Source organism: Homo sapiens, chromosome 17 (assembly GCF_000001405.40).
Source record: "Homo sapiens chromosome 17, GRCh38.p14 Primary Assembly".
Classification (NCBI taxonomy): Eukaryota; Metazoa; Chordata; class Mammalia; order Primates; family Hominidae; genus Homo; species Homo sapiens.
This window is the reverse complement of record NC_000017.11, coordinates 45,619,587-45,647,268: the sequence shown is the minus strand read 5'-3', so window position 1 is coordinate 45,647,268 and position 27,682 is coordinate 45,619,587. Positions and strand designations below refer to the sequence as shown.

At 45.8% G+C, this 27,682-nt stretch overlaps 1 protein-coding gene, 1 long non-coding RNA gene and 1 pseudogene across 8 annotated transcripts in view; all 3 read right to left on the bottom strand.

Annotated features, from left to right (window-relative positions):
• Nucleotides 1–26,923, bottom strand: part of LINC02210-CRHR1 (LINC02210-CRHR1 readthrough) — a 215,483-nt gene extending 188,560 nt beyond the window's left edge. The window contains exons 1-3 of one of the 2 annotated variants that reach the window (NM_001256299.3): nt 26,897–26,923; nt 25,228–25,361; nt 17,111–17,365 (exon numbers count right to left, since the gene is read on the bottom strand). The gene's annotated coding sequence lies outside the window, so the exon portion shown is untranslated. Of the gene's footprint in view, nt 1–17,110; nt 17,366–25,227; nt 25,362–26,896 lie in introns of those variants that run through there. The other variant, NM_001303016.1, reaches the window with a different exon arrangement.
• Nucleotides 1,038–26,940, bottom strand: LINC02210 (long intergenic non-protein coding RNA 2210). 6 transcript variants are annotated; one of them, NR_138259.1, is made up of 7 exons: nt 26,897–26,940; nt 25,228–25,361; nt 17,111–17,365; nt 9,583–10,986; nt 7,749–7,876; nt 6,814–6,880; nt 1,038–1,368 (listed from the first exon to the last, which is right to left on the bottom strand). It is a non-coding gene; the product is annotated as a long intergenic non-protein coding RNA 2210 (long non-coding RNA). The 6 variants fall into 6 exon arrangements; NR_138260.1 differs by lacking the exons at nt 6,814–6,880; nt 7,749–7,876; nt 9,583–10,986 and adding exons at nt 16,663–16,780; nt 16,951–17,023; NR_138257.1 differs by lacking the exon at nt 1,038–1,368 and having other exon boundaries at nt 4,962–6,880; nt 7,749–8,352; nt 9,868–10,986.
• On the bottom strand, nt 7,867–14,324 carry ARF2P (ARF GTPase 2, pseudogene; annotated as a pseudogene).
• Nucleotides 26,941–27,682: the final 742 nt, after the last annotated feature.

Below are 27,682 nucleotides of genomic sequence, written 5' to 3'. Positions count from 1 at the left end.
CGAGATGGCACCAATGCACTGGTGCATTAGACAATGCCTGGACAATGAACCTTGTCTCAAAAAGTAAAATAAAATCATACATATGCAGGAGTATTTGCACATAAAACACACGCCTGGAAAAATACATGTCTGGGGTATTTGCATATGCCTTGTGGAGAATTTCTAGGCTCGGTTAAAAGGAGAAAGAAACTAAATTATATTGTTCTGGAACTCTTCTCCACATCACTCAGCCAAGGAGCATAAGGAGAGTGCTTTCATTTCATTCATTAACTCACCAAATATTTGCTGAACATTGACCCTGTGCTTGGCCTTGGAAGAGAATTTTGCAAAAACACAGTCCCTTATTTCAGATTTGACAACACAGTGGGGAGACTGTATCTTTTTTTTAACGCAAATCATAGCACAGAGGCAACATTCAGGACTGATGAGGAAATTTGGCTCTTGGGAAATGGTCAGAACAGCTCATTCTGCTAAGAGCAGAGCATCTTGAAAAGTTTTACCCTGCTCGTTGCCCCACTTAGCCCTCTGCAGGTCGAGGAAGCAGAGGAGGGAGCCACTCCTGTGGACTCAATTCTCACCCTCGCTGGTGAAAACAGAAATGATGGGTTCACATTGCTCACAGCTCCCCCTGGAACGACTTCCTTCTCTCCACTTCCAGACCCAAGCCCAGGCTTCCCAGGTTTCACCTTTGGACCTTTTCCCACTCCCCGCACCCGGGGCCCAGTGCTCAACCCACCTCTCCGCCCTTCACATCCTTCCGTGGTTAAATGTTGGCTTCTCTCTTCCCATCTGTGGCTGTCTGTTACCCCAAGTCAAGGCCTTACATCATCTTGCTCGCCTCAGGGGACCCACCCCTCCTGCAGCCTCGGAAGGCTGAACTCCTCCGGTGCCCAGTTTGTCCTGACCTCAGAAGTACAACCCACTCCACTTGGAGGAAGCAAAGAGGGTTTTTAAAGAAATACAAGCAGCTTCACTGAGAGCTCATGGCTAAGCTCAGATTTTAAGAGGACAAGAACAAGAAAAACTAAAAGACAAATTGTAAGAATAGTTTCAGAAATGTTTACTAATGAGATGAATACATGGAAGGCGTTTAGCACAGTGCCTAAAACACAGTAAGTAACCAACAAATGGTAGGTGGTATTAATACTATTATTATTAAATCCCAGAATGACGGGATTACAAGAAAATGCACACGTAACAAAAGCAGCCTTAAAAAGCTAATTTTTTTTTCAGGGCCAGAGCAACAGGAAAGAGATAGACCCATTATTCAAGACAGATGATGTAATGTGAATAAAAGAGTGAACATTTTCAAGTGTCTTTTCTCCTAATATTCTTCTATTTTCTTTAGAAGAGAGAATAATCTTCAACCTGGAAAGGATAATAAACATGATTATGGGGAAATCGGGATCTAAGACAGATGATGCAGCACTCAAGGAGAACCCTTCCGCTTTATGGGAGCCCAACACTCTTAACTCCAACTAAATATATATAAACTAAACTCAAGGAGAGCCCTACTGCTTTATGGGAGCCCAACGCTCTTAACTCCAACTAAATATATCCAAGACCTTTACTGTGTGATTGCAAACTCCTACTGTAAATATTGAGAAGTCAGGAAGCTGAGAAGGGTGGAGAAAAATTAGAGATGAGCAAATGTCGCCCAGGTTTGTGAGAGAGAGAAGGTGGATTCCAGAAACTACAGATGGGTATGTCTGAGGTTGATCTGCAATCAGATAGGCTTATAAAAGATGGCAGATGTTACCAGTGGTCAAAGCGGCTTACTAGGAGTAATTAGTCAAATTAACCTTATTTCCATTGCTGAGGGATTGGTACATGAAGGCATTGCTACGCATATTGTATACTTAATTTTAGCAAAGCACTTGATAGAATCTTTCAGGATTCCTGGTGGATAAGATGGAGAAATAAGGGCTAGATTTAAAGTATGATTAGCCAAGTTACATAGATGGCTGAACATCCACATCTAATGAATGGAACAGTGTCCACTACAGAGCACATTATAGGTGCTTAGTAAATATCTGTTACTGTTACACAAATGAATCAAGCTGGAGGGAAGTTTCTGATGGTATGTCCCCATCTAATTTTATATATATATATGGAGAGAGAGAGAGAGACAGACAGACAGAGACTTCCTCTGTCACCCAGGCTGGAGTGCAGTGGTGCCATCTTAGCTCAGTATAACCTCCACCTTCCAAAGTCAAGCAATTTGCATGCCTCAGCCTCCCAGGCAGCTGGGACTACAGGTGGGTGCCACCACACCCAGCTAATTTTTGTATTTTGGGTAGAGATGGGGTTTCACCATGTTGGCCAGGCTGGTCTCCAACTCCTGACCTCAAGTGATCACCTGCCTTGGCCTCCCAAAGTGCTGGGATTACAGGTGTAAGCCACCGTGCCCAGCCTTATTCAGTATTTTTTATCATGACTCAGATGATGACTTATGAGTCATGGGTATCAAATTTATAGGAAGCAAAGCTTGGAGGGAGATCTGATGCATTCAATAACAAAATCCAAAATTCAAAATGAAGCCAACAGGTTAGGATGATGGGCCAAAGCCTAGATGAAATGAAAAGAGACAAATGCCAATCATTCATTATGTTCTTAAAAGCAGGTGCACAAATGCAGAAGAGGGAGCCCCGGCCCCATTGCATTTCATGCAAAAGAGATCTGCAGGTCTGAAATGATCCCAAGCCCAGTGTGCTTCATTAGTATGAGGCGGCTGCCAAACACAGCTGCAAACTTAGGCTACACAAGAGGATGGAGAAAAAGAGCCCCAATATGCATTGCCTCAGCAATAATAGCTCGTATTTATTGAGTGCTTATTATACTAGATGCTGCTACTGCGCTGTGTTTACAGAAATGATCTCATTTATGTAAGTACCCGGGGGTGTAGTCTGCTTTCTTTTTCTTTTTTCTTTTTTTTTTTTTTTTTGAGACAAGGTCTTCCTCTGTTGCCCAGGCTGGAGTGCAGTGGTGAAGTCTTGGCTCACTGTAGCCTCCACCTCCTGGGTTCAAGTGATTCTCATTTCTCAGCCTCCCAAGTAGCTGGGACTACAGGCGCGCGCCACCATGCCTGGCTAAGTTTGTATTTTTAGTAGCGATGGGGTTTCACCATGTTGGCCAGGCTGGTCTCAAACTCCTGACCTCAAGTAATCTGCCTGCCTCGGCCTCCCAAAGTGCTGGGATTACAGGCATGAGCCACCACACCCAGCCTTGGGTGTAGTATCGATCCAAAATGATATCTGATGTACAGGAAGGGGGAAAGATCTGTTTTGTATGTAAGAGTAAGTTAGTAGAAATACAGTGAGGAGAGTCATGAATGGAGGGGAACATTGAAGACACAAGGCTGGCGGAAGGCTGCAGGATGTTTACACCCCTGGGACCCCGAAGAGGTCAGTGAGAAGAGAGTCAAGTTAGATTTCAATCAGATGGCACCATAGACCCGGCTAAGATTGAACCGGGTAGGCCTACCCTAGGATGATCTAGTTCGGGAGCCCCCCTCCTTGGGGATCGTTTTGGGGAGGGGTTTGTGCAGTGGACAAAGGATGAGATCAAGAGGAGACTATGTTGAAAAAAAAAAATGCCAGCCAGGCGCAGTGGCTCATGCCTGTAATCCCAACCCTTTGGGAGGCCGAGGCGGGTGGATCCCCTGAGGTCAGGAGTTCGAGACCAGCCTGGCCAACATGACAAAACCCCATCTCTACTAAATATACAAAAATTAGCCGGGTGAGGTGGCGCACGCCTGTAGTCCCAAATACTCAGGAGGCTGAGGCAGGAGAATCACTTGAACTCAGGAGGCGGAGGTTGCAGTGAGCCAAGATCATGCCATTGCACTCAGCCAAGATCACGCCTTTGCACTCCAGGCTGGGTGACAGAGCAAGACTCTGCCTCAAACAAACAAATAAAAATGTTGGGGAAAGGAAGAGAAAGCCAGCAACTTCCTGGGTATCCAAGTCAGGCACATCAGCAGGTGTTTGTGTGCTCCCCCCAGCAAGTTCCTCACCTCCTTTACCAGGGGTTACAGCTCCATGAGAGAAAAGCCTGATAGATAGAGATGGAAGAGCCCCTTCTCCTAATGGTGGCTGTGTCTCTGCTTGGCTTATCAGCAGTGTGACAGTTTGCTGTTTTGATCGCTCTCCCTTGCCCAACCATTGCCAACCCAGGTTGAGCCCACCTCAAGGGATTGGGCAGATAGAAAGTGTGGGTCAGTACAATCCTCACAATAACTTAGATGATGACATTAGAGCTCAGTAAGGTAGATGTTTTTAACCATGGTCACACAGCTGGCCTACAGTGGAGCAAGGATTTGAACCCGGGGTCTTAATGCTAGGATCCAAATTGTTAACCACACAGCACTGGGCTGGCATCTGCAGAATCTCAGGTTCCCCATGGGTCCCCACATTTTAAGAAGGATGTGGACAGATCAAAGGGGTAGCTCCTGGAGAGCTACCAGGAGAATGGGAGAATGGGAGAGGCTGGAAATCTTGTCCTGTAAAAAACACAAGGAGAGCCAAGTACAATGGCTCACACCTGTAATTTCAGCACTTTGGGAGGCCGAGGAGGGCGGATCACCTGAAACCAGGAGTTCGAGACTAGCCTGGCCAATGTGGTGAAACTCCATCTCTACTAAAAATACAAAAATTAGCCAGGTGTGGCGGCTCACGCCTGTAATCCCAGCTATTTGGGAGGCTGAGGCAGGAGAATTGCTTGAACTCGGAATGTGGAGGCTGCAGTGAGCCAAGATCATGCTACCGCACTCCAGCCTGGGCGACAGAGACTCCATCTCCAAAACACACACACACACACACACACACACACACACACACACACACACACACACACACAAAACAAGACAAAAAAACAAAAAACCTACAGGTCATCAGGGAATTCTGTCTGAGATAAAAATGACTTGGGAAAATGCAATAACTGTCCTCAAGCTCTCAGAGAAATGTTATGTGGCAAAACAAAGACATTTATTTTTCACAGCAGTACTAGAATAATAATGATGTATTTCAACATTCTAAGGTTTAGAGTTCTCTTAAACAGGAGTGGGCTGCTTTGAGATACTGAGCTCCCGGGCACTGAAAGTATTCAAGCAGAAGCTGGACGCCATGGGCCAGGCTTTCTTTTATTAAAACCGAGATGCTACTCTTCCTCTTCTCAAAGTGCCTACAGAACAGCTGAGACCTACTTACCCAGCTCGTTTGTCACTATTAGTTTCATGACTATAAATTTCATACAGCTTTACTGAGGGATAACCTATGTACTGTACAATTTACCCATTGTAAGTGAACAATTTGATGGTTCCTAGTAAATCTATACAGTTCTGCAACCATGACTACAGTCCAGTTGCAGAAACTTTGTGATTATAGATTTTTTCCCCAAAGAACATTGTTAGCATCAAGGGTAGATCCAGGTCCCATGGGCCGTGGTCTCCGCTGACCTAACAGCAGGCCTCTGTGCTGTGGCTCTTTCCTCATATCCTCTCCTCATTCCTTCTTGGGAGTCACCTGATGCTGCCCTGCCACATGCTGCTTGGCCTTCCTGGGCCCTGGGCACCTCGCCCCTCCCCGAGTTGTCCCCGCTGGGCACCTTTGCTTCCTTCCCTCCTTCTTTGCCATGGCTTGGGGGCAGGGGCTTGGTCTTCAGCAGATTCCAAGGCAGTAGGGTGTACTTAGAAGTATGTGAGCCCTGATAACCCAGACCTGTATTTGGCTCACAGCCATGTGGCCTCCAGCAAGTCACCTTATTTTTTGTTATTTCTGTTTTGTTTTGAGACAGGGTCTCACTCTGTTGCCTAGGCTGAGTGCAATGGCTCAGTCTCATCTCACTGCAGCCTCTATCTCCCGGGCTCAAGTGATCCTTCCACATCAGCCTCCCGAGGAGCTGTGACTACAGGCACACACCACCACACCCAGCTAATTTTATTTTTTTTGTAGAGATGAGGTCTCACTATGTTGCCCAGGCTGGTCTTGAACTCCTGGATTCAACCAATCCGCCTGTCTCAGCCTCTTAAAGTGCTGCGATCACAGGCATGCGCCACCATGCCTGGTGACTTTATCTTCTTGAACCTTAATTTTTCCCCTTTTGTAATGCAGACATAATACACATGCCTCGCTCAGTGCAAAGATCAGAGATGATGTGTATCAAGTGACTAGCACAGTATCTACTTTTTTTTTTTGAGACAGTCTTGCTCTGTTGTCCAGGCTGGAGTGCAGTGATGCGATCTCAGCTCACTACAGCCTCCACCTCCCAGGTTCAAGTGATTCTCCTTCCTCAGCCTCCCAAGTAGCTGGGACTACAGGCGTGCACCACCACACCTGGCTAATTTTTGTATTTTTAGTAGATAGTTTCACCATGTTGGCCGGGCTGGTCTCGAACTGCTGACCTCAAGTGATCCACCCACCTTGGTCTCCCAAAATGCTGGGATTACAGGTGTGAGCCACCATGTCTGGCCAATATCCACTATTTTTAGTAAATGATAGCCATGATTACTGCTGCCACCTTCATTATTGACACTCAAATGTCCTCTGCTCTGAGTGCTTATTTTGCCTTTCTCTTCTAGGATATCCCTGTTTTCTGGGTCTCTCCTGGTGTCCAGCCATTACCACAGGCACAGAGATGGATTCCTCTACACTTGGGAAACCCCAAGGCTGACCCCAGCCAGGGATGCATGTGGGTTACTTGGGAATGGAGCAGCAGCACCACCTAGTGGCAATGTGCAGCAGCATGCTAATTACTGGCCAAATGCAGGAGCTTGTCTAATAGCTACTACATCAGGACACCTTGGAAGTCACCTACTCCAGCGGTTCGTCCAGCACTTGTGTGGCCACAGCATCCTCCTAGAGAGGGCTTCCCATGCCATGCACTAGAACAAAAGAGGATGTGGAGAATGAAAGACAAAATAGGAGAAAACTTCTCAGTGTAATGCTCCTCAGGGACCACAGGGTAGTAAAAAAAAGTTTAAAAAGCATCTCCACCAGATCTAGAGACAGGAAGTAGGTCAGTGGTTAGTGGTTGCCCAGTGCTGCGGAGGACAGGGGAAATGAGGAGTGACTGCTAAAGGGTACAGGGTTTCTTTTCAGGGTGATAGAAATGTTTTAAAAGTGGCCAGGCGCAGTGATTCACGCCTGTAATCTCAGCACTTTGGGAGGCCAAGGCGGGCAGATCGCTTGAGGTCAGGAGTTCAAGGCCAGCCTGGCCAACATAGTGCATCCCCGTCTCTACTACTCATACAAAAATTAGCCAGATGTGGTGGTGCACGCCTGTAATCCCAGCTACTCGGGCAGCTGAGGCACGAGAATCGCTTGAACCCAGGAGGCAGAGGTTGCAGTGAGCTGAGATTGTGCCACTGCACTCCAGCCTGGGTGACAGAGTGAAACTCTGTCTCAATAATAATAATAATAATAATGATAATGATAATAATAATAATAATAATGCTGATGAGTTTGTGGCCAGCACTGCTGTTCATACTTGGACAAGATATCTCCAGGGAAACACCGGAGCAAGACATTCAAAGGTAGGAGACACTTAATCCTCATAACTCTATGAGGCAGGTATCAGTATCCCCATTTAACAGTTAAGCAAACTGAGGCTCCGAGATACAGAGGCTAAGAGTCAGTGGCCTGAGGCTAGCAGCCAGTGAGGGACATGGCAGGGATGCAAACATGGCTTTCAGAGACCCAAGTCTTTCCTTAAAACTACTGTACTGAAAAGTGCTCCCCACTTATACTTACTTTGACTCACCAGCTCCAGTGTCACAGTGTGGGAAAGGCTGTAGTGGGTGTGCCGTGAAAAGGCAAGGCGTACTGCCAGGGCCTAAGGCTGGGACAGCACATCTCAGTTTGTCTTCCATAAACACACCCTAGGAGTTTCAATAGAAACTCTGCTAAAATTGATGAGGAAAGAGATTTCAAGAAGTTCAATACATTCAGAAGCACATGACTATCCTCTCCTCCTTCCAAAGCAAGTTCTTTATCGTCTGAGCAATCAATAAGTGTTTAACGAGGCCTGGCACTGTATTAGGTAAGCTGTAGCATAAATACAAAAGTGTAAGACACAGTCCCTGCCCATTTGAGGCGTACAATCTAAATATTTCTCAGAGGCCGGGTGCGGTGGCTCACACCTGTAATCCCAACACTTTGGGAGGCCGAGGCAGGCGGATCATGAGGTCAGGAGTTCAAGACCAACCTGGCCAACGTGGTGAAACCCTGTCTCTACTAAAGATACAAAAATTCGCCGGGCGTGGTGGAGGGCGCCTGTAATCCCAGCTACTCAGGAGCTTGAGGCAGGAGAATCGCTTGAACCCAGGAGGCAGAGATCACACCATTGCACTCCAGCCTGGGCAACAAGAGCAAGACTCTGTTTCAAAAAAATAACATAACATAACATAACATAACATAACATAACATAACATAACATAACATAAATAACATAAATAACATAAATAAAATAAAATAAAATAAAATAAAACAAATATTTCTCAGAAATTACTCCATGGTTAAAAAGCAAATCTGGACTTAGTTGCCAGTATTGCAATGAACATTCTTTAAATTCAATATTTTGAAGAAAAACATGATACCACACATTTATCATGGAATGAAATTTTTTCCTAGTAATATAAACTTCATTGTTATGAATAAATAAGGTTTGCTTCAGTTAAAATTCACCTGACATGGCCCTCCTGTATAATTTTTTATTTAATTTTATTTTTAAAATTTTATTTAAAATTTATTATATTAAATTTGGGACAGGTTCTTGCCATGTTGCCCAGGCTGATCTCAAACTCTGGGCTCAAGCGACTCTCCCACCTTGGCCTCCCAAAGTGCTGGGATTACAGGCATGAGCCACTGTGCCTGGCCAATCTTCTATAATTCGAATAAATATTTCTTGAAAAAGTAGTTTTAGAAGGTTAAATAGGCCAGGCGTGGTGGCTCACGCCTATAATCCCAGCACTTTGGGAGGCCGAGGCAGGTGAATCACTTGAGGTCAGGAATTAAAGACCAGCCTGGCCAACATGATGAAACCCTGTCTCTACTAAAAATACAAAATTTAGCTGGGCGTGGTGGCGGGCGCCTATAGTCCCAGCTACTCAGGAGGCTGAGGCAGGAGAATCGCTTGAACCCGGGAGGCAGAGGTTGCTGTGAGCCAAGATCACGCCACTGTACTCTAGCCAGGGTGATAGAGCAAGACTCCATCTCAAAAAGAAAAAAAAAAAGAAGAAAAAGTTTAAATAGAAGTGCTTAGGTACTAATATGGCCAACAATTGTCTGGACAAACGAGCTCTAGGCTACTTAGTGAACCTCCTCTCCGGGATATTTTTATTAATATTTGGAGAACAACATAAAACACATTTCCAAGTGGTTCATGAGATGCCATGGCCATCCAAAAGAGGGAGGCAATGCGCCGGAGCTTGGTCTTGACAAGAGATATTTTCCATAGCAAAATTTACCACTAACTCGAGGGCAATACCAGGTGGGCTGGGAATCTCACATCTCCCAAATTAGCCTCTTGATTCTGTCACAAACTTTCAGAACTCAAAGGCTTGTGGTTCTGGGAATGGAAACTAACCAAACATCATCTGGACTGAGACAGCCAAACCTGGAGACAGCGCCATCCCAAAAGTGAACCGTCTGCTTCATGGGAAGAACATTTATCTCAGAGCAGGGAGGGATGTAGCAGCTGCAGTCGCAGGGGACCGAGACCCAAGACGGTGATGCCCAGAGCACAAACACGACCCTCCACTGGCCTGTGGGGCTCTGGGAAAGAGCTTCGGCCTCACACTGGGTCACCTCCCCACAGGGTCCCCATCTGGCAAATAAGGGAAGGAACTAGCATAAGGAAAAGGCTGGATACCTTCCTAGTGTTATGAAGTATTGATATGCCAGTGAAAAAGCTCACGGATGTCTTTAAATAAAGCGTCTTACATCAGGAACTCTGGGCTACAATATAGTTTCAGGGAAAAGTTCCAATCTGAGCCTCTTTGCACCTGCAATAAGCAAATACCTTTTCTTTCCTGAGGATCATTTGCTTAAAGCACTGAAGAGTGAGCTGCTAGCTGCAGCAGTGGTGGTAAAGAATGACGATTTCTCGGTAGCGCAGTGGCTCATGCCTGTAATCCCAGCATTTTGGAAGGCTGAGGTGGGTGGATCCCTTGAGCTCAGGAGTTACAGACCAGCCTGGGCAACATGGCAAGACCCTGTCTCCACAAAAAATACAAAAATTAGCCAGGTGTGGTGGTGCACACCCATAGTCTCAGCTACTCAGGGGGCTGAGGTGGGAGGATTGCTTGAGCCCGAGAGACGGAGGTTGCAGTGAGCTGAGATCGCACCACTGCACTCCAGCTTGGGCGACAGAGTGGGAGGCTGTTTCAAAAAAAATTTTTTTAATAAAAAATAAATAAACATGAAAAGGTACAGTAAAAATATGGTTTTAAAAAAAAAAGAATGACAATTCCTTCCTTTTTACGAAAGGATGCCAAAGACTAACAGGACTCCAGACGCCAGACCAGGATTGCAACAGCTGAACTCAGTCCCCGCTCCAACTCGCCTCCATGAAGCCCGCTCTGGCCTTCGAGCACCAGCAAGCCCTCTGGACTTCTCCATCAATTGCAAAAATGATCATCAAAGCTACTGAAATGGAAGGTGGTGTTTAAAACTTAACACTGGGTTTCTTAAAATGTAACACTGCTTTTCTTATGGCATGGATAAGGCACTGTGAGAAAGCTGCCTCCACTCCCAGCACACACGTACACGTGCACACAGCAGAGGCTAGCTGATGTGGCCACAAGGCACAAAGAATAGATCCTTCTGATCAGTTCTGGTTCTGGAACTGGTTGGCGAGCCAGTTCAGGCCTTCGTAAAGCCCATGTCCAGTAGTGGCACAAGTAGCCTGAATGTGCCAGTTTCTGTAGCGGAGGGAATGGAGGCCGAGCTTGTCCGTTATCTCTGCCGCGTTCATAGTATTAGGGAGATCCTTGAAAAAGAACATTCAAAAGTCAATGTATACTGTTGTATCCATATAGCGAAATATGCTCTTCCCTGTTAAACGTGCCCAAACCCACAGTCTTCTCTGTTGATGGCAACTCCAACCTTCCAGTTGCTCAGGCCAAAAAGCTTGAAATTATCCTTACTTTTTTACTCTCAATGTCACAGCCAATCTGTCAGGAACTCCTAACGGTTCCACTATCAAAATTTATCCAGAATCTGACCACTTACTAACTCCACAGCTGTCGCCGTGATCTGACACCACATCGCTTCTCACCTGGATGACTGAAATAACTTCCTAACTGTCCTCCCTACTTCTCTGCTCTTGCTCCCGTGAAGCCTATTCTCAACCCAGCCATCGGTGAATCAGATTGAATCATTCTTCTATCAAAACTGCAACAGCTCCCCCTCTCTCAGGATACGAGTCAGAGTCCTTATGGTCCACAAAGCCTCCTGGACCGGAGACCTCAACGAAGTGGTCTGTTCCATCTTTTCAATATGGCACTCACCATACATTACTATATCACGACATTTACTTATTTAAGTATATTTATTATTGACTATCTATCTGTCTCCCCTAACTAGAATGCAAGCTTTACAAGGGCAGGAATCTTGGTCTATCTCGTCCTCTGATGTATCCCAAGTGCCTTGAAATGTGCTTGGCACAGAATAAGCTCAAACTAAATTTGAATAAATCAGCATTAAAGAACAAAGTAAGGCTGGACACGGTGGCTCACACCTGTAATCCCAGCACTTTGAGAGGCCGAGGTGGTCGGATCACCTGAGGTTGGTAGTTCTATACCAGCCTGACCAACATGGAGAAACCCCGTCTCTACTAAAAATACAAAATTAGCCAGGAGTGGTGGCGCATGCCTGTAATCCCAGCTACTCGGGAGGCTGAGGCAGGAGAATTGCTTGAGCCCAGGAGGCGGAAGTTGCGGTGAGCCAAGGTAGCGCCATTGCACTCCAGCCTGGACAACAAGAGTGAAACTCCATCTCAATAAATAAATAAATAAATTAATTAATTAATTAAAGTAGCTGTAGATGTACTGATATGGAAGGACTTCCAAGATATACTAAGTGAAAGAACATAATCATACAATTGTTTACACAGGCAGAGAAAGTTGGACCTCTGGAAAGAGAAAGAATAAATTTAACAATGAATAGTAGCACCAGAATATTTCACTTGAATATTCTCAACTGTATGCGTATTTATACCATGAGAACATTCTGTTTTTATCATTGAAAACAACAGAGGCACCAAGCACGGTAGCTTATACCTATAATCCCAGCACTTTGCGGGGCTGAGGTGGGAGGACAGCTTGAGCACAGGTGTTTGAGACCAGCCTGGGCAACATAGCAAGATCTCAGCTCTACAAAAAAATTAAAAAATTAGCTGGGCATGGTGGCACGTGCCTGCAGTCCCAGCTACTTGGGAGGCTGAGGAAGAAGGATCACTTGAGCCCAGGAGTTCGAGGCTGCAGTGAACTGTGATCGCACCACTCCACTCCAGCCTGGGCGACAGAGTAAGACCCTGTCTCAAAACAAAACAAAACAAAAAAATCACACACACATACACACACACACCCTCCAGAGTCATTTTCTTTCTTTAATAGTCATATGTTCACTAGTGCAAACTCTGGACTGACATTGAACCTGAACAGTGAGAGTAACGGTTGTACAAATGATGATCCATCCACCGTTTAAAATCAGGTCTACAAAGAGTTGGAAAACAAGAGACAATGATTTTGATAAATCTAAAGTGATAAAACAGGATGCAACATTGTCACAACAGTATGATCACAATTACATAATGAATGCACTCATGGAAGAGAAAGTGAAGGAAGGATGTCAGAATGTGACGGTGGTCATCTCAGACTGGTACAATTCCACGTGGTTCTTTCTACCTTCTTTTTCATGCTTAGTTTAGCTCAGAGTCCTGAGGCTGGATAGTTCTACGCTTGGTCTTCCTCCCATGTTTCTTTTACTGTTTTACATTTATGTACAAGCCCTTTTCCTCCTCCAAAACAGGCCCTATATGATTCAATCTCATCTCCTCTCTCTCTCCCCTGCTCATTCTGTTCCAGCTGCACTGGCTCCCATGCTGTTCCTAGAATCGTGTGGCTCCCTTCCTCCCAGCCTTCTGGTCTCCGCTCAGATGTCATCTCATCAGAGAGGCATTCCCAGTCTTTCCCACACCCGCCCTGCCCCTTTACTATGCTTTTGCTTCTTCCACAACACTTAAAAACCATTTGACACGTATTATTATTTATTTTACTCTGTAGCCCAGGATGGAGCGTAATGGAATAATCTCATCTCACTGCAGCCCCGAACTTCCAGGCTTAAGTGATCCTCCCACCTCAGCCTCCTGAATAGCTGGGACCACAGGTGCATGCTACCACATCCAGCTAATGTTTGTACTTTTTTGTAGAGATGGGGTTTCACTATGTTGCCCAGGCTGGTCTTGAACTCCTGGGCTCAAGTGATTCCCCCCGCTTCAGCCTCCCAAAGTGTAGGGAGTACAGGCATGAGCCACCACACCTGGCACATTTCATGTTATTTATTGGTTGACTCTCTTCCCACTAGCAACGTAAACTCCAAGAACACAAGGACTTTATCTGTCTTGGTTTAAGCCTAAAACCAAGTCTGGAACTTAGTAGATGCTCAGTGGCTCACACCTGTAATCCTAGCAATTTGGGAGGTCGAGGTGGGCAGATCACTTGAAGTCAGGAGTTCCAGACCAGCCTGGCCAACATGGTGAAACCCAGTCTCTATTAAAAATACAAAAATTAGGTGGGCATGGCGGCGCATGCCTGTAATCCCAGTTACTTGGGAGGCTGGGGCAGGAGAATCACTTGAACCCGGGAGGTGGAGGTCACAGTGAGCTGAGATCACACCACTGTACTCCAGCCTGGGCAACAGAGTGAGACTCTGTCTCAATAAAAAAAAAGACATTCTAGCAAGGAGATGGTGGGAGATATTATGGTTGGTACTGGAGAGAGGGAGGCAGACATCTCATTTAAATGTCTGTATTTACAAGTGAGACATTTGGCAGTAAATTTCAGTTCCAGCATTCAGAAAGCCAATAACAACATACTTGTTTATTGGCAAATACCAATAAAACTGCATTTCTGAGCTCATCGTCCTCTAACAAGTAAGTTAGCACTTCCCAGGCCTCATCAATCTGCTCTCTGTCATTACTGTCAACCATAAAAATCAGACCTAGAAAGAAATCACGAGCATGTTAGTGATCTGAGCCTGGAAAACGCAGCTGTTTATGTATCTTCACGACTTCTCCCTGCTTATGTGTGTGACTTCACAAAGGCAATCGATACGGAAGGATACATCATCTCTAGAGTTAGGAGGCCTGCTATACACTCAACTTACATTTTGCAGAAGCATCACAGCCCTGCACCATATTAACAACAAGAATATATCCTGAAAAAGTTAGTCTCGTTTTCTAATCACTTAATTTCCACGTCAGGGAAAAAAACTTTTTTTTAATTAATTAATTTATTTATTTTGAGATGGAGTCTTGCTGCAGCCCAGGCTGGAATGCAGTGGCGTGACCTCGGCTCACTGCAACCTCCACCTCCTGGGTTCAAGCAATTCTCCTGTCTCAGCCTCCCGATTAGCTGCGAATATAGGCACACCATCACACCCTGCTTATTTTTGTATTTTTAGTAGAGACGAGGTTTCACCATATTGGTCAGGCTGGTCTCGAACTCCTGACCTCAGGTGATCTGCCTGCCTTAGCCTCCCAAAGTGCTAGGATTATAGGCGTGAGACACTGCCCCTGGCCAAAACATTGTTTTTTAAAACATGTAAAGTTTAGTATAATAAAAGCATTCTAGGGCTAGCCCTCTAAAGCAAAACTTGAGACAAAAGCTTAAGTGCAGGTACGTTCTTTGGGAAGTGATCCCAGAGATCAGGAATGAGGGGCTGAGGGAGTAAAACAGGGCAGGAGGGACAGACAATAGAAGGACGAGTTATCAAGCTGGGCCCCCACTATGGGACCACTGCTCACCGTTGTTGGACATTCTAAGAAGCCATATCAAATGCCTGTCAGAACTGTCCACCCAGAGGACAAAAGAGGAAACAAGTATCCTTCAGTACCCATTCCCTGTTGCTCAAGAACAACTCAACAGGTGTTAGGCCACCCATACTTCTGGGTCACATTGGTATGAACACCAAGAGATTCCTATGGGCATCTTATAGTAATGAATTTGGCTGGTCTTTGTCCCCAGTTTCTAGAAGGTAGCCTCTAAACCCTTGGACTTTTCAGAGTGATAGCAGTATCTTTTTTTTTTTTTTTTTTTTTTTTTTTTTGAGACGGAGTCTGGCTCTGTCCGCCAGGCTGGAGTGCAGTGGCGCGATCTTGGCTCACTGCAAGCTCCGCCTCTCGGGTTTGCACCATTCTCCTGCCTCAGCCTCCCGAGCAGCTGGGACTACAGGCGCCCGCTACCGTACCCGGCTAATTTTTTGTATTTTCAGTAGAGACAAGGTTTCACCATGTTAGCCAGGATGGTTTCGATCTCCTGACCTTGTGATCCGCCCGCCTCGGCCTCCCAAAGTGCTGGGATTACAGGCGTGAGCCACCGCGCCCGATCAGCAGTATCTTTGTTATCATAGCGGGCCCACACCTCTAAGTTGATGCTAACAAGGTGACTCAGAGTGGGCCCCTAGATAGTGGATGCTAACAAGATCACCTCTGGGGAAATGAGGGTGCTAAAGTTTGAGTCACATGGCCAATGATTCAATCAATCGTACCTATGCAAGGAAGCCCCAATAAAAATGACAAATACTGAAGCTCAGGAGCACGTCCCTGGTTGGCAATACTCTATACATTGTCACGCATCGATGTGCTGGAAAGGTAACAGCCCCTGACTCCACGGGGAGAGAACAATGAAAGCTTTGCGTTTGGTGTCCTCCCAGATCTATGTGTCTTTCCCTTTGACTGGTTCATTTATATCCTTTTGCTTTATTGATCAATTAATAAAACTGTAGTTGTAAGCATAGCATGTCCCTGAATTCTGTGAATCATTCTGACAAGTGATCAAACCTGAGGGGGTAGTGGAAATCGCCAAATTTGTAGCCATCTGGCCAGAAGTGAGGGTGGGCTGAGGACCCCCAAACCTGTTGCCAGCTGGTGGCTGAAGTTGGGGATTCTTGTGGAGGATGGTGCCCTCAACCTGTGAAATAAAGTCCAACTCCAGGGGGTTGGTGCCGGAAGTCTCTGCAGCATTCCATACTATAGCATCAAATACATCCCAAAAAGTAAAAGATACCTGGGGCAGGCCAAAGAAAGGCACCACCCCATCACACCTGAGTGAAGGTGACCAAAACCTGCACAGACCCAGTCACTGCTACATTGGCTGGAGGAAGCTGTGGGGCCAAAAGCATCTCCAGGGAGGGGCACAGGTGGCATCCAACACACCCTCCAAGCACAAGAAGGGGAGACGCCTTTGGCAGTAGTTCATGTGACATTAATGATAACAACAATCTGTCAGCCAGGTGTGGTGGCTCAGGCCTGTAATCCCAGCACTTCAGGAAGCCAAGGTGGGCAGATGACTTGAGGTCAGGGGTTCGAAACCAGCCAGGCCAACTTGGCAAAACCCCATCTCTACTAAAAATACAAAAATTAGCCAGGCGTGGTGACGCGTACCTGTGATCCCAGCTACTGGGGGGGCTGAGGTAAAAGAATTGCTTGAACCCGGGAGGCAGCAGTTGCAGTGAGCTGAGATGGTGCCACTGCACTCCAGCTTAGGTGACAGAGTGAGAACCTGTCTCGGAAAAAACAAAAAACAAAACAAAACAAAATTTGTGTTTGGCTAAGAGTAAGCCCTTAACACAAAAATGTGAAGTGGCTGCCAAAAGAACAGTTTGATCCTAGGCTGCATCACCAGTAGTGACGGGGTCTCAGTTCCTAGGACATGGGTGATACCAGGCTTACTCTACATCAGTCAGAACATCCTGGGAACGTTATATGGGCAGTGCTGGATCCCACACTCTGAGACCGGGGCAAACTGAAAAAATTCAAAAAATGATCAGGAGAGCAAAGGCATTAGACACTAGGCCATATGAAGAACAGCTGCTATAATTGGAGATTTTACCTGGAGAAAAGAGTCACGTAGCGGCTGATGGCTATCTTCAAGTAGCTGAAAGTCTATGATGTAAAGAGGATTTAAGCGTTTTATAGAGCTCTGTGAGGTGGACTGAAGATCAGTGGTGAAAACTACAGAAGTCAGCCTAGCAGAGTGTCAGCAGATGAAGATGCAATGGCTGCCTCAGAAGGCACTCCTGTCACTGGAGATACTTGTTTGTGCACAACTTCAGCCACAATTCATGGGGACCCTGCAGAAGAGACCCTGGAAGGAAAATAGTAGCAGGATAAGATGACTTCTTGGTTTCCTTTGACCATGAGATTTCACGACTATGTCTAGGAGAGTAAACCAGTGCCGGCCCTCTTCCCTTTCCCTCCGTGCCTCCCAGGCCCACTCAACAGCTGCCTGAACCAACGGCAACAGAGCAGCCTACTATGGCTGATAGAGAGCTCCCGCAGCTTCGGCATGTTTGGGGCTTGCATGTGAGTCAATGTCATGTCTGCTACATCATATCAGATTAAAAAATGAAAAACATTCAAAACTCCCCCGAAGATTTCATATGCTATCAGCAAGTTCTGGTCTCTCGTCGTAACTAAGCAAGCCAGATTATCCAGAAATTTGAGATCCTTAGTCACCAATGCAGAACTGACAGGGAGGAAGCTGCCATATTATCCCTTTGCCATTCCTAAAAAAGCTTTGTAATATTAGGTACCATTTTATACTATCTTTATATAGGTCCTTACCTAAGAACCTAACATCAGACTGGTCCTACATCTGAACTAAGAGAACCTACAAAAAGCATATTTACAGCCGGGCGCAGTGGCTCATGCCTGTAATCCCAGCACTTTGGGAGGCCGAGGCGGGTGGATCACCTGAGGTCGGGAGTTCAAGACCAGCCTGACCAACATGGAGAAACCCCATCTCTACTAAAAATACAAAATTAGCTGGGCGTGGTGGCACACGCCTGTAATCCCAGCTACTCGGGAGGCTGAAGCAGGAGAATCGCTTGAACCTGGGAGGCAGAGGTTGCAGTGAGCCGAGATCGCACCATTGCACTCCAGCCTGGGCAACAAGAGTGAAACTCCATCTCAAAAAAAAAAAAGTATATTTACACATGAATAGTATACTACTAATGTGTTTTTTAATGGGAATATATGTATATAGAGCTGCCAGTATATACATAAAATATGTCTGGACAGATATATAAGAAATAAAAATGTTTGTCAGCCAGGCATGGTGGCTCATGCCTATAATCCCAGAACTTTGGGAGGCCGAAGTGGGCAAATCACCTGAGGTCAGGAGTTTGAGACCAGCCTGGCCAACATGGTGAAACCCCATCTCTAGTAAAAATACAAAAATGAGCTGGGCATGGTAGCACACACCTGTAGTCCCAGCTACTCAGGAGGCTGAGGCAGGAGAATCGCTTGAACCCAGGAGGCAGGGGTCACAGTGAGCCGAGATCGAGCCATTGCACTCCAGCCTGGGCAACAAGAGCAAAACTCTGTCTCAAAAAAAAAAAAAAAAGTTGTCTATGCGAGGGGAACCGAATGGTTAAGGGACAGGAATGAGACAGTGACTTGTTACTATAGAATTGGCCCTCCACATCCATGGGTTCCATATCCATGGATTCAACCAACCACAGATAGAAATTATTCAGGAAAAAAAAAAAAACTACATCTGTGCTGAACATGTACAGACTTTTTTCTTGTCATTATTCCATGAACAATAGCGTTTCACAACTATTTATACAGCATTTATGTTGTATTCAGCATTATAACTAATCTAGAGGTGATTTAAAGCAGGGGTCCCCAACCCTTGGGGCACAGACCAGTACTCTTAAGAACTGGGCCTGTTAGGAATGGGGCTGCACAGCAGGAGGTGAGCAGCAGGTGAGTGAGAGAAGCCTCATCGGTATTTACAGCCGCGTCCCATTCCCATGGCTCACATTACCAACTGAGCTCCACCTCCTGTCAGATCAGCTGCAGCATTAGATTCTCATAGGAGGGTGAACCCTATTGTGAACTGCACGTGAGGGATCTACACTGCGTGCTCCTATGAGAATCTAATGCCTGATGATCTGTCACTGTCTCCCATCACCCCCAGATGGAACCATCTAGTTGCAGCAAAACAAGCTCAGGCTCCCACTGATTCTACATTACAGTGAGTTTGTATAATTACTTCATTATATATTATAACGTAATAATAATAGAAATAAAGTGCACAGTAAATGCAATGTGCTGAATCATCCCAAAACTATCCCTGATCCCCCTCTCCGGCCCCCGGCTCTGTGGAAAAATTATATTTCACGAAACTAGTCCCTGGTGCCAAAAAGGTTGGGGACCACTGATTTAGAGTATACGGGAGGATGGGGGGCTGGAGGTTGCAGTGATCCAAGTGCCACTGCACTCCAGCCTGAATGACAAAGGGAGACCCTGTCTCAAAAAAAAAAAAAAAAGAGATATGTAGTACTCCTAACATTCAGTACCTCAGAATGTGATCTTAGAGATGGGATCTTCAGACCAGGTGCGGTGGCTCACGCCTGCAATCTCAGCACTTTAAGAGGCCGAGGTGGGTGGACCACTTGAGGTCAGGAGTTCGAGACCAGCCTGGCCAATGTGGAGAAACCCCATCTCTACCAAAAATGTAAAAATTAGCTAGGCATGGTGGCGAGCACCTGTAACTCCAGCTACTTGGAAGGCTAAGGCAGAAGAATCACTTGAACCTAGGAGGAGGAGGTTGCAGTGAGCTGAGATCACCCCACTGTACTCCAGCCTGGGCAACAAAGAGAGACTCTGAAAAAAAAGAAAGAGATAAGATCTCCAAAGAGGTCATAAAGTTAAAATGAGGTCATCAGGGAGGACTCTAATCCCATTATGACTTGTCCTTATAAAAAAGGGGAAATTGTGGACACAAAGAAATACACACAGGGAGGCTGGGCGCAGTGGCTCACGCCTGTAATCCCAGCACTTTGGGAGGCTGAGGTGGGCAGATCACTTAAGGTCAGGAGTTTGAGACCAGCCTGGGCAACAAGGTGCAGCCCTGCCTCTACAAAAAATACAAAATTTAGGCTGGGTGCTGTGGCTCATGCCTGTAATCCCAGCACTTTGGGAGGCCAAGGCAGGCAGATCACCTGAGGTCAGGAGTTCAAGACCGGCCTGGGCAACATGGTGAAACCCTGTTTCTACAAAAAATACAAAAAATTACCTGGGCATGGTGACACGTGACTGTAATCCCAGCTACTTAGGAGGCTAAGGAAGGAGAATCACCTGAACCTGAGAGGCAGAGGTTGCAGTGAACCAATATTATGCCACTGCACTCCAGCCTGGGCAACAGAGCAAGACTTTGTCTAAAAAAACAAAAGAAATATACACAGGGAGAACTCTACATAAGGACTGGAGTTATGCTGCCACCAGAAGCTAGAAGAGAGGCTTGAAACAGATCCTGTCCCAGTAGCTTCAGAGAAAGCATGCCTCTGCCCTTAGATTTCTAGCCTCCAGAACAGGGAGACAATAAATTTCTGTTATTTAAGCCACTCAGCATATGTCACTCTGTGGCAGCAGCCTTAGCAAACAGATGTCATAAGAAAATTCGCAGCTCAGGTTTACTAAGTACCTACCAGGTACTGTTCTAAACACTCTGCGTGAATAAACTCATTTAATCCTTATAAAGTCCACTCTAGGATCTAGGTACTATCATTACACCCTTTTTACGGTGTGGATGCCGAGGTTCTAAGAGGTTAATGAGCTTACCCAATATCACATAGCCAGAGCCCTCTCTCTCACCACTAGGCTATGAGGAGCTATTATTAACAGTAATTACAATAAGAGCTAGCGTGGTGGCTCACGCCTGTAATCCCAGCACTTTGGGAGGCCACGGCGGGTGGATCACTTGAGGCCAGGAGTTTGAGACCAGCCTGGCCAACATAGTGAAACCCCGTCTCTACTAAAAATAGAAAAACAAGCCGGGCATGCTGGCATGTGCCTGTAATCCCAGCTACTTGAGAGGCTGAGGCAGGAGAATTGCTTGAACTCAGGAGACGCAGGTTGCAGTGAGCCGAGATCGTGCCACTGAACTCCAGCCTGGGCGACACAGCAAGACTCCATCTCAAAAAAAAAAAAAATTAGTAATTACGATAAGTAGTAGTCCACTGAGCCAAACACTGCCCTATGTCCTTTACAGATATAATACAAAAGTCCTCTGAAGTAAGTGTTATTATTTCCAGTATGAAGGAGGAACCTGAATCTCAGAGAGATTAAGAAATTAAGAGATTAAGAAATCGCCCAAAGTCACACGGTTAAGAGTGCTGAGATTAGGCCGGGCACGGTGGCTCATGCTTGTAATCCCAGCACTTTGGGAGGCCGAGGCGGGTGGATCACCTGAGGTCAGGAGTTTAAGACCAGCCTGGCCAAGCTGGTGAAACCCCATCTCTCTAAAAATAAAAAAAAAATTAGCTGGCCATGGTGACAGGCGCCTGTAATCCCAGCTACTCGGGAGGCTGAGGCAGGAGAATCACTTGAACCCAGGAAGTGGAGGTTGCAGTGAGCCAAGATCACCTGGACAACAAAGCGAGACTCTGTTTCATAAAAAAAAAAAAAAAAGAAGAAGAATGCTGAGATTATATCTAATTGCTAACTTAAGGGGATATACAATGAAAACCTGTTTTTACTAAAACTTTAAGAACAAGTTAATTTTTTTTTTTCTTTAATGAGACAAGAGACAAGGTCTGGCTCTATCACCCAGGCTGGACTGCAGGGGCGCAATCACAGTTCACTGCAACCTCCACCTCCCAGGCTCGAGCCATCCTCCCACCTCAGCCTCTCAAGTAGCTGCAAGTACAGGTGCACACCACCATGCCTGGCTAATTTTCTTTTGTATTTTTAGTAGAGATGGGGTTTTGCCATGTTGCCTCATGATCCGCCCTCCTCGGCCTCCCAAAGTGCTGGGATTACAGGCGTGAGCCACTGCGCCCAGCTAAAATTTTCAATTTTCTATTTAATTTTTAAAATCTGATACAAACATCAGAAAGTGTAAAAAGATATAATGCAATGAGAAGTCTCCTCCCTACTCTGTCCTCTACCTGAACAATTCCTAGACCTAACAGGTAACCAGTGCCACCATTTTCTTATTTATTTTTCTAAAGTTTTGTGTTGTTGCTGTTGTTTGAGACAGAGTCTCGCTTGGTCAGCCAGGCTGGAGTACAGTGGCGTGATCTCAGCTCACTGCAAGCTCCGTCTCCCAGGCTCAAGCAATTCTCCTGCCTCAGCCTCCCGAGTAGCTGGGATTACAGGTGTGTGCCACCACGCCCCAGCTAGTTTTTATATTTTCAGTAGAGACGGGGTTTCACCATATTGGCCAGGCTGGTCTCAAACTCCTGACCTCAGGTAATCCACCCACCTTGGCCTCCCAAAGTGCTGGGATTACACGTGTGAGCCACCATGCCCAGCCCTAAATATCTTTTTTGTTTTTTTGCATACATACACCAATGCAAATTATCTTTTTCTCCTGTTTTTTTTTCCCAAAAAACACAAAGGGTATCAAATCATACATACTGTTCTGCATCTTGCTTTCATCACTTAACTGTCTGCCTTGCAGATCTTTCTATATCATATTAAATTATGTTTTAATTCTCTCGTTTTGCTTGTCAAGAACAGTTTTTACTTCATTTCACCATAGTTCAGTCTAGCACACAAGGCATCCAGCAGCCCTAAGAACTACCTGAGACAACTGATGATGGCTCCATGCTACACACTAAAGACCCTGTATCTTTTCTCTCCTCCTCATCTTCATTTCACTCTTTTCTCCAACTCACTCAATTCTCCTTCCTTTCCCTATTCCTCTCCCATCTCACCCACTCCTTAGCCCTAACCCTGACAACTAGACCCTAGTAACATCACTGACATTGCTTAGTCGTGGCTAGAAATATTCAGGCTTTAAAAAGGTACAGACCCCTAACACAGAGAAAAAGGGATAAATAATAATTTCCATGAGAACTTCTAATTAACGAGAGTGCCTTAAATTGAGGAGTTTTGGTTTGGAGTTATTCTTCCTTGTTACTTGCCTCCTCTGGCATTTTCATTTGTGAAGACTGAGTGAGTGTGACGCTATTTTCTATACGCATGGAAACAAGCACATACTCAGTCTAACATTTACGCAATGCCTGACAGAACGACAGAGTTCATTCTACAATAAGATAATTGGAAACAAAATATAAGATCTATATAAAATAAACATTTGGGCTCCAAAATATGCACTTTAATTAACCTATCATTTCTTTTTACTTAAATTAAGTAGCTCCAATCTGAAACTACATCTTAGAAATGTTTTAAGGATATTCACCAATGAAAAAGAGAATAAAGTTCCCTCTCCCCACTTCTATTTTCCAGCCCACAAACTCAATGCTATCCTCCCCGCAAAAAGGACCTTTTTTTCTGACCAGACGAACACTGTAATTTTTAAGGTTTCTAAGTAATAAAAATAGGAAGAAAACATTACCCCCAAAAATTGGTTTACACTTAGAAGATGTTTCCCACTGAGCAAAGGATTGGTAAGGAACATAATATTAAGGCAACCACCTAACTGCATTCTTAAGTAGTAACAGGTGGTAACTCACGATATGGAGCTGATTTCCTTTCTCTATTCCTGCCATGCCAGAGACCTCTAGTAGAACTTCTGAGGTTACTGTATTACAACCCAGGTTCAGAGAGATTTAGAGGTAAAACCTTAAACACTGGAAATAGCTTTAAAAGTAGGGCTTTGTGTACCAAATACATTCGTTAAAACCTAGGAAACTATAAAATGAAATCCAATGTATTGATCTCAATCCCCTTGCCTGCTTCCTAAAGAGGACAGAGGCCACCAACACTGGTGCTCAACACTTGCTAAGTCGAAACACTCTTACACAGGTCCTCTGATTCTTAACGGGTTCAGAACTTCTGGTTGCATTCCCCATGCAACCCCTCCAACTCTACAGGGAGAATGCTGGAAAAACTGTGTCACTTTGGCTTCCTGTATATTAATATAAGCACTCTTATCCAGCAATAGCAGCTGAAACATAAATGAAGATGAGAACTCAGCCTACATGACCTAAGATTTCCCACAAGTCCAGATATATAGGTTACACACACTGCACTATTGTCTGATTTCTCCTCTGCATCAATCTGGAAGTCCACAGAGCAGATTAGCACCCAACAATCTTAACTAAGCTAGTATCCAACTCTGAAGAAAGGCGAAGCTGGTGGAGGGTTTCCAAGACTCCTTATCCTTCTCTGTCCTTCCTCCCATCCCCTCCTTACGTCTTTTCTGTTTGTTTTTATTTAATTTTATTTTTTAATGTATTTTTAGTCACAAGAAAATCAAAGAAGCCACCTACTTAAGTCTTAAGCTCTGCCCTTTGCTTAGTCCTAATGGAGAGTTCTTTGGCCATCTATGTACAAGAGATTAGAGGAGCCAAAGAGACTGGAGAACCACATCAATGGGAGCTTTTTCATCTAAAGGTCATCTGTCCACACTGTCCAAATGAGGTTTACCCTGTGAAATAAAACTTGGTGTAAGTGCTACCTGCTGAGAAAAATAGTATGAAATGTCACACAAAGGACTGGGGTGCAGCAGGAGGACTCTGAAAGAGTCATACGTGTAAACCAGCAGGTCTTAGAATGCCCTAATATACTATATGAAGTTTCAGAGTAAACAAATGGTTAATGACACATCTTTTGTAACACGTGAATCAGCTACTGATTTGCAAGAGTGGGACACACCCTAGTACCTATGACTCTAAAGTACCTGTTTGAAAAGTGGACCTAGATGTTTGAATTGCCAACCCATCCTAAGACCGGAACATAATTTTACAACTATGTAAGTTGCCATAATTTAAAGTTAAAAAGATCACTGCCTTTCATTATAATGGAAGTTAATTTGAGAACTTCATTAAAACATTCACACCGATAATCAAAGAACAGTAGAGATACAAAGTAAGATATAGCCAATCAATCCTAGGAAGCAAACACAAGAGGCAAGAGAAATGGCAGGTAAAGGAAGTGAAGAATAGCAAATTCAAAAACTACAATATTCCCAATTCTAAAGAAAAATGAATAAAATGAGGCTGGTAATGAAAAAATAACACATCTTACCTTAAGAGGCATCCAAGTAGCATTCATAGTGTCAGGATATAAAGACAATACTCAGAAATGAGCAAGAAGTCTTAGAAATTCCCTCGGTTACCAAGTATAAGCAGGTAGGAAAATCTTTTGTTTCGAGAAGGTATCTGAAAGAGAGGATTTTCATTTAGACTAAAAAATAATCAAGACAATGCAAATAGTTTAAGCTACCTGGGCAGGGATTTTGAAGTACTATTTGCCTCATCGCACTAAAAAAGTATAGAAAATACAGTCCCCTTTAGAAAAGGGCAAATGTGTGTCTCCATATATATGTGTGTAGAAACATACTTTACATAAAAAGAGAAATAAATATGTAACACGTATTTTAGATAATGTAAAATTGCTTATCAAACAATTAGCCAAAATCCCAGAGAGAATAAAGTAATTTTCCAGGGTACTTCATAAACACTAAACGTGATTTGTTAATTAACCGTCTAAAAAAGACCCTTGCCACATTTAATTATATTTAGTAAAGTAAAACTTCTCTAATCATCCCGACTGTCCCAAGATTATGCTTAAGTTTCAGAGTCAATTCCACATGAAAAGTAAAACCTATTCTTGACTGAAGTACTAGAAACAAATAAAGGACCCTTCTTCCCCAGAGATCGTTAAAAGCAGACCGAGCAACTTAATTTTGAGGGTGGGAGGAAGGTAAATTTGCCTGGAGGCAGGAGGATGGACTAAATGACCTCTGGTAGGATCCTCGTTCAAGTCCTGGGCCTGTATACAATTCCAGCTTAACCAGTTACTGCTTCGCTTAAAATGGAGGCTTGCCCGCGTAGGGACAAAAATAACAGCACCCACTTCTTAAAAATAAATGTCGAAAAGTACCCCTTTTTAAATAAAAATAAAAAATAAACACCTCTGGAGTGGATGTGTTCTTGCTATGCGTTTGTCACTGAGGCTTCGAAGACTTGGCATCACTTTCCTTACCGCTCACCGGATTTTGGGGGAGGAGCGGGGGGCGACAGTTTGACTCTTGACCCAAGTCTCAGGCGGACTTCAGAGCCCCACAGGGGCCCCCAACTCCAGAGCCAGAGGGAGCGGAGAGGCGAGAGCCCGAGATCGCACCTCCCCCCACCGCGGACCCCAGTCCCAAACCCACCCCTCACCTCCCCGCAGTGGGGCGCCTCCTTCTGCCCCATTCCCATTGTTAGGGAGGGCAGAGCGCGGGGTGGGCTCAGGGCAGGGGCGCCCGCGGCCGCTGCCCGGCTCGCTTCAGGAGGGGCGCCCCGCGGGATGCGGCTTCCCTTCCTCTCCGCGTCGGTCCGTCCCACCTCGGCTCGGCCTGGCGCCCCGAGCTCCGCTCCGCGCCCCCGGCCGCGGCCCCGGCCCGCCCCCCGGGCAGCCAGGCCCTCAGGCCACTCGGCCGGCAGCCCGCGTCCCAGGCCTACGAGTGGGCGCTGGGCGGGCGTCCCCGTGCCCCACACACGCGTCCCCTCTCCCCCAGCCCCGCCGCTTCCAGGGCCCTCGGCGGCGCCCGCTCCCCGGGCCCCGCGGCCCCCCGCCTCCCAGCCAGGCCGCTCCCTCGAGCTCGTCGGGTCAGGGACACCTCCTCTACCTCACCATCACCCTGGCCCACTCGTGCCCCCACCCCCAGGGGCACCAGTGCCAAAGGCAGCTCCCCCAGCCCCGGACCTACCTGCACGGTTCAACCAAGCCTAGAAGTGGGGGCGGGGAATCTTCCGCCCTCCTCTGGCGCTCATTGGCCCTTCAGGGGCACATCGTGAGCGCCATTGGCTGAGCAATGGTGTCCGTCAGAGCGATGGGGCGGGACAGAAGGGGAAGAGGGATGCAGGTGCCTTGGCGTCTCTGTCTCTGTGCATCTCGTTGTCTCTGTCTCTGTCTCAGCCCTTGGAAACGAGAGGCTTTTGGCTGAGAGGACTAGAAGGGGGCCTGAGGTGGGAGGAATAGGAATAGGAATCCTGACAGAGCGTCACGCCAGTTGGCAACTCTGAACCCCCTACCTAAGTCCCCTTTAGGTTCTCTTCTCCATCACCCCCAACCCCTGCCCCTCACCCCTCGAGATTCTTTCATCCAGGAAGCGACGTGATGAAAACTCCAGGCCGGAAGGCCATAGGGAGAGATGTTATATATGTATATAAAATATACACATATAAATGTTTATATATAAACTCAACCAGATATCAGTTCACTAGGGCCTGGAAAGGAAAGGGCACACATCTCACAGACAGGGAAGGACTTGAGATAGAGCCGGTAGAAGAAGGAATCAAAAATCACTCTAAGAGCTGGCAACAGTGGTTACCTCCTGGGAGAGGAACTGAGTGCCTAGGGAACCAGTGGGCGGAAGACTTACATATCTCGGCATATCATTTGTATCCATTGATTTTTGCACCACTCATCAAGATTCCAATTTAAAGAAAAGGATTTAAATGTTTAAATAAGGTCGCAAAACCAGGGGACAGAC